The sequence below is a fragment of the Homo sapiens genome, chromosome 1 (genome assembly GCF_000001405.40).
Source record: "Homo sapiens chromosome 1, GRCh38.p14 Primary Assembly".
NCBI lineage: Eukaryota > Metazoa > Chordata > Mammalia > Primates > Hominidae > Homo > Homo sapiens.
Genome location: NC_000001.11, coordinates 246395245 through 246415488, shown reverse-complemented (window position 1 = coordinate 246415488; position 20244 = coordinate 246395245). Strand labels below are relative to the sequence as shown.

Genomic DNA, 20244 nt, shown 5'->3' with positions numbered 1-20244 from the left:
CTGGGTCAATTTCCTTGTTAGTACATGGACTAATAATGGGATTGTTGTGAGGATTAAAAATAATGGAGTAGTTAAAGCATTTAAAAACAGTCTGGGACGTGGTAAGTACGATATACATTTTATCTATTATTATTGCTGTTATATTAGAAGTGGGGGGTGAGCCCACAACACTTGCCTTTCCCTTTGCATCTCTGGGTCCTAAGCCTAGAGAAGGTAAATGCTGTAACTGTTCAGAGAAGAAAAGATCACTTAAGCTGACATGGCAGTTTTTGTAGAAAAATTGTTGACAGTGTATCTGTGTTAACAATTCCAGGGGTTTGTTAGTTTTATTATCATGTTTTGGCTATTATCTTCATTACAGTAATATGAAACAGACCTAGCTGGAATAGCTTTAAATTAAGGCAGTATTTTGTGATGGGTGCTGTTCTGCTCACCAGGATTTACCCAATGTGGATGTCAAAAACCTGGCTCCAGCCGGGCGCGGTGGCTCACACCTGTAATCCCAGGACTTTGGGAGGCCGAGGCAGGTGGATCACCTGAGGTCAGGAGTTCGAGACTGGCCTGGCCAACATGGTGAAACGTCGTCTCTACTAAAAATACAAAAATTAGCTGGGCCTGGTGGTGTGTGCCTGTAATTCCAGCTACTCAGAGGCTGAGGCAGGAGAATCACTTGAACTCAGGAGGCAGAGGTTGCTGTGAGCCGATAGCATGCCACTGCACTCTGGTCTGGGCGACAGAGCAAGACTCTATCTCAAAAAAAAAAAAAAAAAACCAGCAAAAAAACCAAAACTGGCTTCAGTTTCCTGGTATGATTTACCTGAATCAGCTGTACATTTATTTTTACATATGTATTTGTGTGTGTGTGTGCATTTATGTGTATATGAATATATATATTTTACACATATAGTATGCAGTTAAAATATATACGTAAAAGCCTTAAAAATAATGACAGTGAGAGTGATTTACATGACACCATGCATTCTAAATCTCTTGTTTCTTCCTCTAGGAAACTCAAACCTTAACCTTGTAGAGAAGAGACAGGCTTTGGTTCTATGTGGACCCTCCTCTGTGTCCCATGTGGCTGATTTGGGATGTCCAATGCTTGCTTCAGGGCTTTGCTAACTTACCAAGATAATGTTCTTAGTTTTTCCTTTCATATTTTCCAAGAAAAATCTTTAACATTTAAAAATGACTCTTTTGATTTCCTCTAATATGTCTGTCCCATCTCTCACTGCTGGCTTTATTTGTAAATAACAGTGGGTGATATCTCAGCCCTGGTGGTCTCTCTCTAAAGACTGCATTCTGTTTTGCATTTGGTAGCTATGTCTCTCTGACTGCTCTAGGGGTAGGAGGAGCCTGGATTCCAAAGAGAAAATGAATTTTCAACCAGGCACATGTAGGGATACATTTCTGTGTTGTGCTGTTATATACCACCCCTCTTTCCACCCACAGACAGAAATTTTGGGGAATTACTTTCTAATCACTTCATATTCAATATTACATTAGCCCATCAAAAGAAGATATTTAATTCGTAAGGTTAATGGTTTTGTTTTTTCGGAGTTTTAATCACTTGTGGACTAAACAAAAATCCCACTTTGATTTGCTAGTGCATTGTATTAGGCTGCTGTTGTGTTGCTATAAAGAAGTACCTGAGGCTGGGCAATTTATAAAGATAAGAGGTTTCCTTGGCTCACACTTCTGCAGCCTGTGTAGGAAGCATGTGTGGCACCTGGCATCTGCTTGGTTTCTGATGAGGCCTCTGGGAGCTTACAATCATGGTAGAAGGCAAAGCGGAGCTGGCCCGTCACATGGAGGAAGCAGGAGCTAGTGTGTGGGGGTGGGGCATCATACACTTTGAAATGAGCGTATCTTATCATGAGCACAGCACTGGGCCACGAGAGATCCTCCCCCATGACCCAGACACCTCCCTGCAGGCCCCACCTCCAACCCTGGGGATTACAATTCAGCGTGAGATTTGGTGGGGACGTATATTCAAACTATATCATGCATCCTCATGAACATAGCTATTGTTAAATCATTCTGTTGGGAATAGCGCTGTTGTGATTTCCTCAGTAATCTTTACTGATAAAAATTAGCTATTTACTCATTTTTTGCCTGGTGGATTTTAATTCTATCCGAGAGTGCCGCCTAATGATTAAGGGCATAGGTTCTGGAGTCAGGTTCCTGGATTTGAATATAAGCTGGACTATTTACTGTGTGACTTTGGGCAACCTGACTTTCTTTCTGTGCCCAATTTTCTCATTTGTAAAATGAAGCTAAATTTGGTACCTACGTCATAGGGTTATTATAAAGACTAAATGAGATACTTAGCACAGTTCTTGGTATGAAGTTAGCACTAATTATAATTACTGTAGAGTGGTAGCATGATGTAATAGAATTAGACAAATTGGGTTGTAATCCTAGCACTGGTTGAGGGTGAGGGTGGAGGTGTCTATACATGACCTTGAGCAAACTGTTTAACCTCTCTGCCTTGATTTCTTCAACCTATAAATTATGGGTAACCTTCCTTATCAGGTAATTAGGAAGATCTGGTACATACCAACATTTAAAAACTGCTACTATATTAATCTCTTCTCCCTTTCTTCCCACTTCTTTTTTTTTTTTTTTTTGAGACGGAGTCTCACTCTTGTTGCTGAGGCTGGAGTGCAATGGTGCGATCTCGGCTCACAGCAACCTCCGCCTCCCGAGTTCAAGCCATTCTCCTGCATCAGCCTCCCAAGTAGCTGGGATTACAGGCACCGGCCACCACACCCAGCTAATTTTTTGTACTTTTAGTAGAGATGGAGTTTCACAATGTTGGCCAGGCTGGTCTTGAACTCCTGACCTCATGATCCGCCTGCCTCGGCTGCCCAAAGTGTCTCTCCACTTCTTACTTCAATTTAAGAATGCTGCAAATTCAGGAAGCTTTTTAGTTTACTGAAAAAAAAAAATCAGGTAGTATTCTTTTTAACACATTAAATAGTTGTCATTCAATATGTTTTATTGGAATCTATTTTTTTCAATGGCTGAACTATTTTTAGCTGAATTACAGAAACAAATAGAAGGCATTGAAAAGAGATCAAGTATTAAAGAATGTTAAGGTTTTCTTTCTAAAGGATAATTAGGCAATGCAGTTTTGTCTTCATTAGAAGCCAAGAGGGAAGAAAGTAAAGATATGCCAGCTAGTTCAGAGAAATGAGAGAGACAGCAGTCCTGTGTTCAGTCATTGATTAGCATCGGCAACACCAGGAAGAGCCATTCAGGCTGGGAGAGGGCTACAGGAACTACTCAAGGAATTGTGAGTTTCCTTACTTAACTGAGTAGGTAAAGATGCTGAGAGGTTTGAGATGATTTGGTAGTAACAAGCCAAGATCATAGACCTTTTCTGTAGGCTCTTGGGGATGTGTGAGAAAGGTAGTTAACGCAAAGCAAGTTGGCTCAGCCAGGGAGAGGTGACAAGGGGAAGAGACAGGATAGTGGCTGCTGTACCTTAAGTTTTTTTTTTTTTTTTTTATTATACTTTAAGTTTTAGGGTACGTGTGCACAACGTGCAGGTTTGTTACATATGTATACATGTGCCATGTTAGTGTGCTGCACCCATTAACTCGTCATTTAGCATTAGGTATATATCCTAATGCTATCCCTCCCCCCTCCCCCAACCCCACAACAGTCCCTGGTGTGTGATGTTCCCCTTCCTGTGTCCATGCGTTCTCATTGTTCAATTCCCACCTATGAGCGAGAACATGCGGTGTTTGGTTTTTTGTCCTTGGGATAGATTGCTGAGAATGATGGTTTCCAGCTTCATCCATGTCCCTACAAAGGGCATGAACTCATCCTTTTTTATGGCTGCATAGTATTCCATGGTGTATATGTGCCACATTTTCTTAATCCAGTCTATCATTGTTGGACATTTGGCTTCGTTCCAAGTCTTTGCTATTGTGAATAGTGCCACAATAAACATATGTGTGCGTGTGTCTTTATAGCAGCATGATTTATAATCCTTTGGGTATATACCCAGTAATGGGATGGCTGGGTCAAATGGTATTTCTAGTTCTAGATCCCTGAGGAATCGCCACACTGACTTCCACAATGGTTGAACTAGTTTACAGTCCCACCAACAGTGTACAAGTGTTCCTACTTCTCCACATCCTCTCCAGCACCTGTTGTTTCCTGACTTTTTAATGATTGCCATTCTAACTGGTGTGAGATGGTATCTCATTGTGGTTTTGATTTGCATTTCTCTGATGGCCAGTGATGATGAGCATTTTTTCATGTGTTTTTTGGGTGCATAAATGTCTTCTTTTGAGAAGAGCAGAACTGAAGGAAATGGAGACACAAAAAACCCTTCAAAAAATCAATGAATCCAGGAGCTGGTTTTTTGAAAAGATCAACAAAATTGATAGACTGCTAGCAAGACTAATAAAGAAGAAAAGAGAGAAGAATCAAATAGATGCAATAAAAAATAAAGGGGATATCACCACCGATCCCACAGAAATACAAACTACCATCAGAGAATACTATAAACACCTCTACGCAGATAAACTAGAAAATCTAGAAGAAATGGATAAATTGCTCGACACATACACTCTCCCAAGACTAAACCAGGAAGAAGTTGAATCTCTGAATAGACCAATAACAGGCTCTGAAATTGAGGCAATAATTAATAGCTTACCAACCAAAAAAAGTCCAGGACCAGATGGATTCACAGCCGAATTCTACCAGAGGTACAAGGAGGAGCTGGTACCATTCCTTCTGAAACTATTCCAATCAATAGAAAAAGAGGGAATCCTCCCTAACTCATTTTATGAGGCCATCATCATCGTGATACCAAAGCCTGGCAGAGACACAACAAAAAAAGAGAATTTTACCCAATATCCTTGATGAACATCGATGCAAAAATCCTCAATAAAATACTGGCAAACTGAATCCAGCAATACATCAAAAAGCTTATCTACCATGATCAAGTGGGCTTCATCCCTGGGATGCAAGGCTGGTTCAACATACGAAAATCAATAAATGTAGTCCAGCATATAAACAGAACCAAAGACAAAAACCACATGATTATCTCAATAGATGCAGAAAAGGCCTTTGACAAAATTCAGCAACACTTCATGCTAAAAACTCTCAATAAATTAGGTATTGATGGGACGTATCTCAAAACAATAAGAGCTATCTATGACAAACCCACAGCCAATATCATACTGAATGGACAAAAACTGGAAGCATTCCTTTTGAAAATGGGCAAAAGAGAGGGATGCCCTCTCTCACCACTCCTATTCAATATAGTGTTGGAAATTCTGGCCAGGGCAGTCAGGCAGGAGAAGGGAATAAAGGGCATTCAATTAGGAAAAGAGGAAGTCAAATTGTCCCTGTTTGCAGATGACATGATTGTATATCTAGAAAACCCGATCATCTCAGCCCAAAATCTCCTTAAGCTGATAAGCAACTTCAGCAGTCTCAGGATACAAAATCAACATGCAAAAATCACAAGCATATATACCAATAACAGACAAACAGAGAGCCAAATCATGAGTGAACTCCCATTCACAATTGCTTCAAAGAGAATAAAATACCTAGGAATCCAACTTACAAGGGACGTGAAGGACCTCTTCAAGGAGAACTATAAACCACTGCTCAATGAAATAAAAGAGGATACAAAGAAATGGAAGAACATTCCATGCTCATGGGTAGGAAGAATCAATATCATGAAAAAAGCTATACTGCCCAAGGTAATTTACAGATTCAATGCCATCCCCATCAAGCTACCAATGACTTTCTTCACAGAATTGGAAAAAACTACTTTAAAGTTCATATGGAACCAAAAAAGAGCCCGCATTGCCAAGTCAATCCTAAGCCAAAAGAACAAAGCTGGAGGCATCAGGCTACCTGACTTCAAACTATACTACAAGGCTACAGTAACCAAAACAGCATGGTACTGGTACCAAAACAGAGAGATAGACCAATGGAACAGAACAGAGCCCTCAGAAATAATGCTGCATATCTACAACTATCTCATCTTTGACAAACCTCACAAAAAGAAGAAATGGGGAAAGGATTCCCTATTTAATAAATGGTGCTGGGAAAACTGGCTAGCCATATGTAGAAAGCTGAAACTGGATCCCTTCCTTACACCTTATACAAAAATTAATTCAAGATGGATTAAAGACTTACATGTCAGACCTAAAACCATAAAAACCCTAGAAGAAAACCTAGGCAATACCATTCAGGACATAGGCATGGGCAAGACTTCATGTCTAAAACACCAAAAACAATGGCAACAAAAGCCAAAATTGACAAATGGGATCTAATTGAACTAAAGAGCTTCTGCATAGCAAAAGAAACCACCATCAGAATGAACAGGCAACCTACAGAATGGGAGAAAATTTTTGCAACCTACTCATCTGACAAAGGGCTAATATCCAGAATCTACAATGAACTCAAACAAATTTACAAGAAAAAAAAACCCATCAAAAAGTGGGTGAAGGATATGAACCTTAAGGTTTTATACTTTAAAGACTTGGCTGGGTGCGGTGGCTCACGCCTGTAATCCCAACACTTTGGGAGACCGAAGCGGGCAGATCATTTGAGGTCAGGAGTTTGAGACCAACCTGGCCAACATGGTGAAACCCTGTCTCTACTAAAAATACAAAAATTAGCCAGGTGTGGTGGCAGGCACCTGTAATTCCAGCTACTCAGGAGGCTGAGACAGGAGAATTGCATGAACCTGGGAGGCAGAGTTTGCAGTGAACTGAGATAGCACCACTACATTCCAGCCTGGGTGAGAGAGCTAGACTCCATCTCAAAAAAAAAAAAAAAAAAAAAAAAGACTTGCTTCTGAGATAGGGATTAGGATGGGGAGAGGCCAGAACTTGATGGAGAACTCATAAATTTCATTTTTCTCTCTGTTTATCAGTAATTCTCATTACTTATCAGTAATTCCCTCACCAGAAAGCTGGTGTTAAGGACATGTAGCTCTGATTTTCCTGTATAGTAAAATATTGATAGGAAACAGCAACAGCTTATTCTGTAGACCAGTTCTTTCCCAGAGATGCCGAGCAGAGGACATCACCCCTATTAAGCACAAAACCCCTTTTTATAAACATGTATTTTGAAACACACATGCACATGCACGCACACACACACAAATGCTATCCTGAAGGGAGAGTCTTAGATAATATATAACTATTTATATAGACAGTTTCAAAATAGCAATATAATGACCCAATGAAAATATAAAGAAGAAATAAATGGAAAATTATTTATCAAATGGTGTCTATTACCTGTTGTGGTCAGAGTGTTTGTGTCCTTCCAAAATTTATATGCTGTGTGATCTTAACCCCTAAGGTGATAATATTAAGAGGTGGTGCTTCGGGGAGGTAATTAGCTCAGGAAGGCAGAGTCCTCATGAATGGGATTAGCGCCCTCATAAAAGAGGCCCAAGGGAGCTGACTTCCCCTTCTGCCAAGTGAGGACACACAGCAACACCATCTGTAAATGAAGAAACCTGCCCTCAGGTTTCTTCATTTACACTGAATGAGCAGTGAGCTCTCAGACGCTGAATATGCAGACGTTTTGATTTTTGGATTTCCCAGCCTCCTCAAGAGTGAATATATATATATAATTTATTTATTTATTTATTTATTTATTTTGAGACGGAGTCTTGCTGTTGCCCAGGCTGGAGTGCAGTGGCGTGATCTCGGCTCACTGCAACCTCTGCCTCCCAGGTTCAAGTGATTTTCCTGCCTCAGCCTCCTGAGTAGCTGGGATTACAGGCGCTTGCCACCACTCCTGGCTAATTTTTGTATTTGTAGTAGAGACGAGGTTTCACCATGTTGGCCAGGCTGGTCTTGAACTCCTGACCTCAGGTGATCCACCCGCCTCTGCTTCCCAAAGTGCTGGGATTACGGGCACGAGCCACCATGTCTGGCCGAAAAATAGATTTTTGTTGCATATAAGCCACCCAATGTGTGGTATTCTGTTATAGCAGCCTCAGCTGCCTAGGACATTGTTTTATATAAATGTTTTGGCACTAGGAGAGCGGTCATGGCGCAGCCTTACTGTGAATGTGCGGCTCTAATTGGAGACTGATACAGCTGTGTTGTCTTTGGGATTCAAATAGCATGACCTTATAGTCTCAGATGATGAACAACTCCTGCTAAGGTTTTGAAGACAAAAGTACCAGTTTCTTTCATTTTACCTGGTGGTTGCAATCTTAGAACTATATTAAATACACTAGAACAATATGAGAATTGCTCCTTATACATAATCAGCAGTTACAATCTAGACCTAAATTGTCTAAAGTGGACATTTGAAAATTGTATGTGATTGTGACAGATAATGTGGGATATAAGCACCTTTGTCTCCTTCAGAGTGATGGTACCCCCCAATTATTGTGAAAACCAAACTATCCTCATAAATTTCCAGACCTCCCAGGGGGCAATGCCAACCCTTCTGAATAGCAGAGTTTTATTCCATCCACATCCCCCAGGGGATTTAGTCAGAAGACAGGACAATGAGAGCTGCTGTCATATCCAAATCCCAAGAGACTTCTCCTTGCCTGTCCTGCCAATCTAATTAAATAAACTATAATAATATTACCAGGTCGATAGCTTGGGAAAGGTGTTGTTTGTTTGTTTTGAAGGGAGGACTGCTGCATATCGAAGCAATTTTGCACGATGGCTGTGATGGAGCAGAGATTCTTCATCCATACTGCCTGCTTTTGGAGCCAGTGACACTGTCACTTACTAGCTATGTGATCCTGCACTAGTTACCTAACCTCTAAGTGTCTCCGTTTTTTCACTTGAAAATAAATAGGCACATTGAGTATCTACCTTGTAGGATTGTTGTGAGAATTTATTAAGCTGGTACATGTCATGTGCTTTGAATAGTGCCTAACACGTAGCACTATGGACACGGTGCACTGAAGAGAGACTTACAAGAAGAGCGAAAAGGCAAGGACAAGCTTTTTAAAGGTGAGAAAGGAAATTATTAAACTACAAGGCTGAAGATGAAACAGATCATATGTGTTGATTTTCTCTCATAGTGCATCTTTACCAGAGCTCCGATATTTTTTAATGGGCAAAATTCAAAAATTCAGCCTCATGCTTTTCTTCTCCTTCCTTTTGGCAAGGATAATAATAGTTAATAGCTAACAATTATAGAGCTCTTACTCTATGCCAAGCATGGTACTAATAGATTTACAAACATTGTGTCATTTAATTTTTAAACAAATCTATGAGGTAGATACTATTAGTATCCCCATTTTGGCTGGGCGCGGTGGCTCACACCTGTAGTCCCAGCGCTTTGGGAAGCTGAGGCAGGCAGATTGCTTGAGCCTGGGAGTTCAAGCTCCTGGGCAACATGGCAAAACGCTGTCTCTATTTAAAAAAAAAAAATCCCATTTTAACCTACAGGAGAATGAGAGAGTTTGAATAATTAACAGACTGTTGCAGCGATTTAACCTACAGGAGAATGAGAGAGTTTGAATAATTAACAGACTGTTGCAGCGATTCAGGCTCAAACCGTCTAATTCTAGAGTCCATTCTTTTTTCTTTCTTTCTTTCTTTTTTTTTTTTTTTTGAGACAGAGTCTTGCTCTGTCGCCCAGGCTGGAGTGCAGTGGCGCCATCTGGGCTCACTGCAAGCTCTGCCTCCTGGGTTCACGCCATTCTCCTGCCTCAGCCTCCCGGGTAGCTGGGACTACAGGCGCCCGCCACCACGCCCGGCTAATTTTTTTTGTATTTTTAGTAGAGACGGGGTTTCATCGTATTAGCCAGGATGGTCTCGATCTCCTGACCTCGTGATCCGCCCGCCTCGGCCTCCCAAAGTGCTGGGATTACAGACGTGAACCACTGCACCTGGCCTCAGAGTCCATTCTTTTAATCGCTGTGCGACAGTAAACAATGAAATAAAATAAAGACACCACTTAAGAGAAGCCTCAACCCTGGAAGCCTGTGGACCATCTCAGATTAATTGTGCTGGGTGACTAATCCTTGACATTTTCTGGCTAGCTCTGGGATTTTGATGTTCAGCATGCTGGTGGCGGTTTTGGTTTTGTTTTAAAAGTGGATTAGTGTCTATTAACCACAACGTATTGTATATTTTCCAGTAGCTAGAAAGGCAGATTTTGAGTGTTACCAACACAAATAAATGATAAATGTTTGAGGTGGTGGATATGCTACTTTACTCTGATTTGATCATTACACATTGTGTATACGTGTAAAAATATCATACTGTATGGCCAGGCATGGTGGCTCATCCCTGTAATCCCAGAACTTTGGGAGGCTGAAATGAGCAGATCACTTGAGTCCAGGAGTTTGAGACCAGCCTGGGCAACATGTTGAAACCCCATCTCTGCAAAAAATATAAAAATTAGCCAGGTGTGGTCGTGCACACCTGTAGTCCCAGCTACTTGGGAGGCTGAGGTGGGAGGATGACTTGAGTCTGGGAGGTTGAGGTTGTAGTGAGCCGTGATTGCACTATTGCACTTCAGCCTGAGTGACAAAGTAAGATCCCGTCTAAAAAAAGAATCATGCTGTACCTCATAAATGTTTACAATTATTATGAGTCAATATAATAAGAGTAAAAAAGTGGATTAGTGTCTAAGTCAGGACTGCCCAAAGCACTTTCTGTAATGAAAGAAAGGTTTTATACTTGCTCTGTCCAATATGGTAATCAGCCAGTAGTCACATGTGGTTATTGATCACTTGAAATGTGGCTAATGTGACCGAGGAAGTTGATTTTCAATTTTATTGAATTTTCATTAACTAGCCAAATGTGGCCAGTATTGGAGAGCACAAGTCTAGATCACGTAAAGAGGGCACAGAGATCAAGTAAAGAGGACGCAGAGATCAAGTGCTTGCAGGGGCTTTCTAAATGCTGCAGTTTTGTTGACTTAGTTCTGTCTCTTTAACTTGCAAACTCCTCACTGTACTTTTTAGCAGAAGCAGGAGTCTGCAAGCAGATATAGACATAATACATATAGATGATGGGACTTCTGTCTTTTTGGATATGGAGGCCTCGTGGCCATGTCTTCATGTCTGTCTTTGTCTAGCAGGTGGGTGCCGTATGTGAAGTCTTCTAGTGTGCTCACAGGTTATCAGTCTCAGCATCCTGGGTTCAGCTGAACTGACTCAAGGAAGCTCTAATTATTGCGGCATATGTTTCAGTTTTCAGGCTGGAGGAAATGTGTTCCCTTCAGTCTGAAGTCAGCACAGATGGGATCTTGAGCCAAGGCCTCAACACACAAAAACAAAACTGCTAACCTTTCACAGCTGCCGTGGTGCTGCTGACCTCAGCAGCGGTGGCCACCAGGGTATGTGTAAAGCTTTTATAACGAAAAGCAAAAAATTTCCACTTACAGCTATCATTGTGATTCGAATTTAAGATAGGTCAATGAAGGGTGATATGCTGGCTGGCTTTATTTATTTTAAAGGTTAGCGGCCTTAGAGCAACACTAGGTTGGTTGTGTTGGGTGTGTCCTATGTAGAGCAGCATACATGCCAAGTCAGGTGTGCATCCAAACCTGAATAAATTTCCATGAGACCCTTGACTTTGAATCAGGGTATCTGAGACGTTTCACATGCTTTGTATATGTTTTCTATGCTTGTCACAAATGTATGTGTGCTTGAACACGGATATATATTTCTTGTTTTTTGAGCCCTATAAATGGTATCATTGCTGAATATAGTCTTATGAAATTTAAAAATGCTCAGCATTACATTTTCAGCATGTATGTGTTATTGCACATAGCATTAGTTATTAATTTTCACCACTTTGTGATATTCTGTGGTATAGCATAGACCACACTTTATCAGTTTTTCTGTCAGTGGACCTCTGGGTTATTTCCTAGTTAAATGTTCTTACCACTGATTATACCTTCTCTTATACTACTGTTAGAAGGCAGCAAGGATAGGGAATAAATTATCCATATCTCATAGAAGGAGAGACCAGAGGAGATGAACTAGGAAGATAGGATATATGTTTAAAACAGGGAGTAAAGAAGGAAACTGGGATATATTTTTCTTGGTATGTGCAACCATCACTAATGCCATCTGATTTAACTCCTGGGCTCAAGCAATCCTCTTGCCTCAACTTCCCGAGTACTTGGGGCTACAGGCATGTGCCATCATTTCTGGCTAATTAAATTTTTTTTTTTTTTAAGACACAGGGCCTTACTATGTTGCCCAGGCTGGTCTCAAACTCCTGGCCTAAAGCAGTCCTCCTACCAAGGCCTCCCAAATTTCTGGGATAACAGGCTGAACCACTGCACCTGGCCAACTGTAATTTATGCAACTAGTTCTGTGTAGTCCTTACTCTTCTAGTAATTTTCCATTAGTCAGGGAGGAACTAAAAAAGCCATGTAGTCCAGGATCACCCTTAATCAGCCACAAATAGAGTAAATTGGTTTATCAGAAGTTTGCCATATGAGTTTTGTTTGTTTTTAATGGTGACTCTTAATGGACAGTTCGGGTAGAATGGGGTGCCAGCCTAGCAAATGAGTGAGCTTCATTTTTATTCAGTCTGTGACATTTTTGACTACCACCAGTGCATAATAGAACTTAAGTATAGATTGAAAATTTATTTTCATGATTTTAAATTATTGACTGCTATTGCTAGGCCAGAGATCATGTAGCCCAAGTGATTGTGCAGCTGAATAGAGAAAAATCTCTTTATAGTAAATGGAGGCTGGAAAATGGCATTGCTCGTTGCAGGTGGCTATTGTACTTGCTCATGTTTTATTTAGGTGTTTAGCAGTGCCATTTGAGCTTCTAATTAAAGTTGTGATTACACTTCAGTTGTTTAGGAAGCCTCACATAGACTTAATCATCAGATCAGCTTGATGAGGATTTGCAAAGGTAAGCTTTATTACTTCACACAGTGGCTTCTAGCCTCTATCTTGACTGTGAAGGGAGCATTGATTCATAAGAACATAACAAATAGTTCAATGATGTTTGAAGTATATTGAGTGGAGAATGAAATGCAGAAGTCTGTTACAGACACTCTGTCTCGATTAACCTCTCTAACCCTTCTATTTAGTTTGATGGATAGAGGGATTTGTGCCCTGAAATCACAGAGGTATCACGTGCTCAGATATGGGATCATCTTTAAGATGGCGTTGTTAATCATTTTAGCTGATCGAGACTCATTTTAACTGGTTTGAACAGTTTTGCCTCACATTTTATTATGGTCTTTTATAAATTTGGAAAATAGTTGGCAAGTTTAATAATAAATTTGTTCATCAGGATGAAGAAACATCTGTATTTTGATATTTGCTGAAATGTGTGATATGCTAATCCTATATATGTTGAATTGATGTTTCTGTGATTACAGTAAAAATATCACAACTCTGTCTTTTGCCATTATATTGGAAAAAGAGAGGATGAAGGTAATAGGTACTGTTTAGAGAGGTTATTCTTCTTTCAGACTACAATGTATTATGGATGAACAATCTTAAAATAGTATTTGAGGCCAGGCACGGCGGCCCACGCCTGTAATCCCAGCACTTTGGGAGGCTGGGATGGGCGGATCACCTGAGGTCGGGAGTTCGAGACCAGCCTGACCAACATGGAGAAACCCCATCTCTACTAAAAATACAAAATTAGCCGGGCGTGGTGGCACATGCCTGTAATCCCAGCTACTCGGGAGGCTGAGGCAGGTGAATCGCTTGGACCTGGGAGGTGGAGGTTGTGGTGAGCCAAGATCGTGCCATTGCACTCCAGTCTGGGCAACAAGAGTGAAACTGGCTCAAAAAAAAAAAAAAGCACCTGAATTACTGGGATTTAAGAACATTGCTACTGGATGTTTTAGAACTTTATATGATTATTACATACTCTATTTTTTATTTTTAAAAATTTAAGGCTGGGCATGGTGGCTCATGCCTGTATCCTAGCACTTTGGGAGGCTGAGGTGGGCAGATCACCTGAGGTCAGGAGTTCAAGACTAGCCTCGCCAACATGGTGAAACCCTATCTCTACTAAAAATACAAAAATTAGCCAGGTGTGGTGGCACATGCTTGTAATCCAGCTACTTGGTAGGCTGAGGCAGGAGGATATCTTAAATCTGAGGGGCAGAGTTTGCAGTGAGCCGAGATTGCACCACTGCACTCCAGCCTGGGCCACAGAGCAAGACTGTGTCTCAAAAAAAAAAAAGTTTAAATAGAGATGGGGTCTTGCTGTGTTGCCCAGGCTGGTCTTGAACTCATGGGCTCAAGAGATACTCCTGCCTTGGCCTCCCAAAGTGCTGAGATTTAGAGGTGTGAGCCACCATGCCTGGGCCTTATTTTTTAGAGTTTAATATCATCAGCTTTTTTCCATTTGAAAGACTCTCCTTGGTTACCTAGAAATTTTATTTTAGCTTTCATAAAAAGCTTTGCTTTGAAAGTGATCACTGAATTAATCTAAGGAAATATGAGTCTTAAGATACTGTGATGATGTTCAGCTGCCTCGAATACTTTTTAAAAAGTTAGTATAGTGTTCATGATGTATGAACAGTTTCTTTTGATTTATGAGCTTCAGATTTTGTGAATTTTATGAATTTTGAGTGTGTCTGAAAAAGACAGTGGTAGGAATAAAGTAATTTCTTTCCACATGAATCTGTTTTTCAGTGTTTTCCGAAGAAAACATATTTGTATACTGTATAATTCATAGTGGTTTTTTTTTTATTTGCCTAGGATAATGAAATAAAGTACATTGGGTATTTTATTACATGGCTGATATTGTTTCTCTTGGCTGCTTTGTTTGTTTTGTTTTCTCTTAGAAAAATATCTCAAGTCTTGTATCTCAACTACAGTAGCCTGAAAGGGGCAAGGAATTTTCTATTGGAAATGGCCAGGAAACTATACTGCATCAAAAGATTGAAGTCATAAAATAGCACAATTAATGACCGATACCAATCATAATATTGTTTCTTAAAGTTGTCTTAACACTGAAATAATTTTAAAAAAATGGTTTTGGATCCAGACACAGTGGCATGTGCCGGTAATCCCAGTTACTTGGGAGGCTCGGGCGGGAGGACTGCTTGAGCCCAGGAGTTTGAGACCAGCCTGGGCAACCTAACAAGACACCATTTCAAAAAAAATAAACAAACAAATAAATAATGGCTTTGAAATAAAATGTTGAAATGCAAGTAGTAGCTGGTATAGCTGCGAAGAATATTTGTAAAAGGCACTTAATATACTGTTTCAGTGTCTTAAGTTACTATCCTGCTAGACTAAGCTTTGTGAAGGCAGGCACTGTTTCTGTTCTGTGCTTATTCCTCACTGCCTATCACAGTATGTGGGTAAATAAATGTTAGATGAATAAATGAACGAGTGACCTGTTAAACTGATGGCAGTGTCTTAAAATTAGTCACCTAGCAATGGAGCATTTTTTAGGATTATATATCTGAAATATATAACTTTTGATCTTTACCTTTTTTTTTCTTTTGGGAAAACAGAGAAAGATGAAACAGAGAAAGATGAAAATTTTAGCATACAACTTTAGTATAAAATTAATGTAATCTTAGTGGTCTTGTTTAATGGCTTGCTAATGTCAGAGTTTTGAGGACGTGGATACAGTGAGAATATAACAAATTCATAATTGTAATTTGCTGATTTTTAGATCAGACTCAATTTCTATGCTTGAATTTTATGTTTGCTAATACAAATAATTTGAAAGCCAATGTTAATACATCTCATAGCCTCAGTAATAAAGTTGACAGGATGACATGTTGCTACAAATCCATAAATGGTATGGCTTACTTTATAGTTTGGTAGGACATAAGTTCCTTAAGGATAGGCATGTGTCTTTTTCATTTTTGTTTCTTTTTCACAGTACTTTTTAAAATAGTATCTATTAAAAATGAGAGGCTGGGCATGGTAGCTCACGCCTGTAGTCCCAGCACTATTGGAAAGCTGACCCGGGCAGATCAGTTGAGCCCAGGAGTTCGAGACCGGCTTGGGCAATGTGGAAAAACCCAAAAGTACAAAGAAGTAAAAAAAATACAAAAATTAGCCAGGTATGGTGGCACACATCTGTAGTCCCAGCTACTTGGGAGGCTGAGGCGGGAGAATTGCTTGAACCTGGGAGGTGGAGTCTGCAGTGAGCAGTGATCATGCCACTGCACTCCAGCCCAGGTGACAGAATGAGGTTGTGCCTCAAAAATAAATAAATAAAAATAAAATATGGGGCTGGGCAAGGTGGCTCACACCTGTAATCCCAGCACTTTGGGAGGCCGAGGCAGGTGGATCATTTGAGGCCATGAGTTCAAGACCAGCCTGGCCAACATGGTGAAACCCTGTCTCTACTAAAAATACAAAAAAACTAGCTGGGCGTGGTGGCACATGCCTGTAGTCCCAGCTACTTGTGAGGCTGAGGCAGGAGAATCGCTTGAACCTGGGAGGCGGAGGTTGCAGTGAGCCAGGATCATGCCACTGCACTGCAGCCTGGGAGACAGAGCAAGACTCTGTCTCAAAACAAATAAATAAGATAAAATAAAAATAAAATATATGAAAAATTTGTGTACAGTTGAAATCTCAAGAGAAAATCTACAACTATCTACTCCTTTATGGTATGACTAATTACGCTGGGCAATCAGTCTTTTTATTAATAGTAGAAAGAGGGCTGGGTGTTGGATGTTGTTTGATACTGTCTATTTTATATAGCTCTTGTCAGACTCATCACTAGTTCTTGAATTCTGTTTCTTTGGGTTCTGTGAATGCTCTCACCTGTTTATCTTCCTCCATTGTGCATACCTCATTCTCAGTTTTTCTCTTCCAGTCTCCTCCTCCTTTTGGCTCCTGCTGATCTGACTAACCTGAGCCCCAGTGTCTCCCTCTTTGTGCTCTGTGCTTCAGTCACTCTATACTATTTACAGTCCCCTGAATGTACTGTTTACCATTGTACATGCTTTTCCTTGTCAGCCTGGTTTAACCCTTGCCCTTTAAGAACCACTCTAAGTATTTCATTTGTGAAGCTATTCCCAAGTAGAGGTCATCACCACTGCATGTTGTACATCTCTCTATGGTAGCTTTTACCATACCTTATTATAGATTCTCATCTATGAAACCAGCTTTGCAATGATTATGACAGAGAAGTCCAGCATGGCTGACTCCGCCTTCTAAGCTCACAGGCGGGCTGTCCTTGCCCATTTCTGGGCGTGGGCCAAACTAACCACGGGAAGAATTGAGTGTGTCGTTTAACCTTGGAGCAAGGATGAAAACAGTCCCTCCCTCAAATTAACTCCCTTCTTGCTCAGGGACTGAAGCTGCCTTTGTAAAATTAATGAAAGCCGATGAGATTAGGATGATGGGAAGAGCCTGAAATTCTGCTGAGATGTAGGGATAGTTAGACCATAACCAGCCATTGTTCCGGAGATCACAAGATTTGTAACTTCTCCAATTGCTCCTACAGATGACGTCTCTATTGTAGAGCCTAAGATTGGTCTTTTGAGATGTTTTTCAGACTTTAGCATTCTAGTGATTGACGGATTCCACCCAGACCCACGACCCAGGACTCAACCAGTCTTGTTGTTGTTGTTGTTGTTCTTTCTCCCCTCCCCTCCCCTCTCCTCTTTTCTTTTCTTGCTTTTTTTTTTTTTATGACTCAACCAGTCTTGTGCCCCCACCCCAGAGGCCGACTCAACACACAAGGCCTGTTTTCTACACCCCTATGATTTCATCCCAAACCAGTCAGCATTCCCCATTCCCTGTCCCCCTGCCTGCTGAATTATCCTTGAAAAGCCCTGGTCCCCGAGCTTGTGGGGAGGCTGATTTGAGTAATAAACTCCTGTTCTTTTGCTTGGCTGGCTCTGTGTTTGTAACCTCTTTCTCCACTGCTGTCATTTATACTGTTGTCTCTGAATCAGCTCTATCTGTGCAGCAGGCAAGAAGAACCCATCAGGTGACTACATCTGTCTAGGTATATTTTTCCTACTAGACCATTCACTTCTTGAGGGCCTGGCAATAATAAACATTTGTTTTTTTCCATGATGGATAAGTAAGGAATTTAGGATAGCTGTGTTAAAATAGCTCCTATCTTCGGAGATGGTTTTTCAACCGAGAGCACAAAAGGTATCATCTGAAATAGTTAAGAAGGTCACAGAGCTAATATATGATGTACCAGCAGTCCCAACCTTTTTGGCACCAGGGACTGGTTTCTTGGAAGATCATTTTTCCACAGACTGGAGGACAGGGGATGGCTTTGGGATGATTCAAGCACATTACATTTATTATTAGATTCTCATAAGGAGTGTGCAGCCTAGATCCCTCGCACACACAGTTCATAGCAGGGTTTATGCTACTATGAGAATCTAATGCTGCCGCTGATCTGACAGGAGGTGGAGCTCAGGTGGTAATGCCTGCTTGCCCGCTACTCACCTCCTGTCGTGCAGCCAGGTTTCTAACAGGCAACAGACTGACAGTGGTCCATGAACAGGCAAAGAGATGGTACAGTTTTCCGAAGAGCATACCCATCCTAAGGATTCCTAATCTCTAGAAATTCTACATCACAGTGACACACTCCTTTAGTATCTTCAGCCATGCTTGGTAAATAAATATTGTTGCTGTGGTTAAGCCGTAGTTTTTGTACTTGTTGAGTGTATTAGTTCTCACACTGCTATAAAGACACATGGGAGACTGGGTAATTTATAAAGAAAAGAGCTTTCATCAGCTAATGATTCTGTAGGCCATACAGTCTTCTGCTTCCTTGGGAAACATACAATCATAGTGAAAGACAAAGCGGAAGCAAGCACATCTCACCATGGCTGGCAGGAGAACAACCAGGTCTCGTGAGAACGTACTGTCACAAGAACAGCAAGGGGGAATGTGCCCCATGATTCAGTCGTGCCCCACCAGGCCCTCCTTCAACACTGGGGATTATAATTCAGCTTGAAATTTGGGTGTGGACACAGAGCCAAACCATATCATTGAGTATATGAAAGCACTGGTTATCTTAAGTATCAAAATAAACCGATGTTGCATAATAGTTTGTTCTTTGGTCTTAGGAAAGTTATCCTGAATTAGTCCAGTGTGCGTTGATGATGTATATCCAGTTCTGATCCAGAAGCTGTCTGATGGTCCAGATAGGATGCTAAGGAGGGAGCAGAAACTTCGAGAGCTTTGTGGTTTGATATATAATTAGTAAGTGAGCCGTTGGGAACAAAAAAGCTTTGATAATGAATAATCAGCTAGCTGAGAAGCTAACACTAAAATTTCCAAACAGTATAGGATCAAGAAAAATGGAGACATGTACCAGTAGGATATTGATGTACGTATACCTATAAAGCCCAATTTGCAAAAGCTAATTTATTTCTGTCATTTATATATGAGCAACTCATACTTCCATCCTAAAGTAAATAGTATTTTTCTAGACTGTCCGATAATTTGGGGTGTGTTCCTAAGGCCCCTTACATGATGAGATATAGTGACCCTCACTCTCATAAAGGCTCTTGACCAAGTTCTTCCTCTAAACATTTTTCTTTTTCCTGGTAAACTACCTCAGATATTTAGCTAACCTTGTAATCTTAAAATCAGGTTTTAAAAGCCACCCTATCATCTTAGGTGTCTATCATAGGTGTCTTGACGTCTGCAGGCTCTTGCCATGTGATTTTCTTGTTCTTATTCACTAGGTGGTGGCAGAGCATAGAGGCAGCGATCGGGCTCCTCTCCCCTGACAGTGGTGGGTTCGTCTTCCCTGTCCAGCCGTGGTGGGTTCCTCTTCCCTGTCTGACCATGGTGGGTTCCTCTTCCCTGTCTGACTGTGGTGGGTTCGTCTTCCCTGTCTGACTGGTGTGTTCGTCTTCCCTGTCCAGCCATGGTGGGTTCGTCTTCCCTGTCTGACTGTGGTGGGTTCGTCTTCCCTGTCTGACTGTGGTGTGTTCGTCTTCCCTGTCCAGCCATGGTGGGTTCCTCTTCCCTGTCTGACCGTGGGGGTCCACTCGCAGTAGTAGTGCACATTGTCCACTTGTGAAAAAGGTGGAACTTGTGAGAGGCACGTAACAGCCAGTGGTTTTGCCTTGTCTATTTTAAGAGAACCCGTGAGGATGATTGAAATGACTCTTTGAAAAGAATCAATTTGTCTCAGGCTGAAGGAAAATAGAAGAAACGGAACATTTCCACTTGGACTGCATGAGAGATGTTGGTATTGAGGTTGCTATTCAGACAGCATTGAAACATTTCATTGAAACATTTGAAGGATGGAGCAAAATGTTAAGATATATTTCTACACTTGGACTTTGGCATTTAGAGCTTTCCTCGTTCCAAAAGATC

General features: G+C 41.0%; 1 protein-coding gene across 6 annotated transcripts in view; it reads left to right on the top strand.

Annotated features, from left to right (window-relative positions):
• Positions 1-20244, top strand: part of SMYD3 (SET and MYND domain containing 3) — a 757933-nt gene that overhangs the window by 91791 nt on the left and 645898 nt on the right. The window contains exon 1 of one of the 6 annotated variants that reach the window (XM_047428021.1): positions 8952-8972. The exons of the other annotated variants lie outside the window; for them this stretch is intronic. The gene's annotated coding sequence lies outside the window, so the exon portion shown is untranslated. Of the gene's footprint in view, positions 1-8951; positions 8973-20244 lie in introns of those variants that run through there. 6 annotated transcript variants of the gene reach the window in all.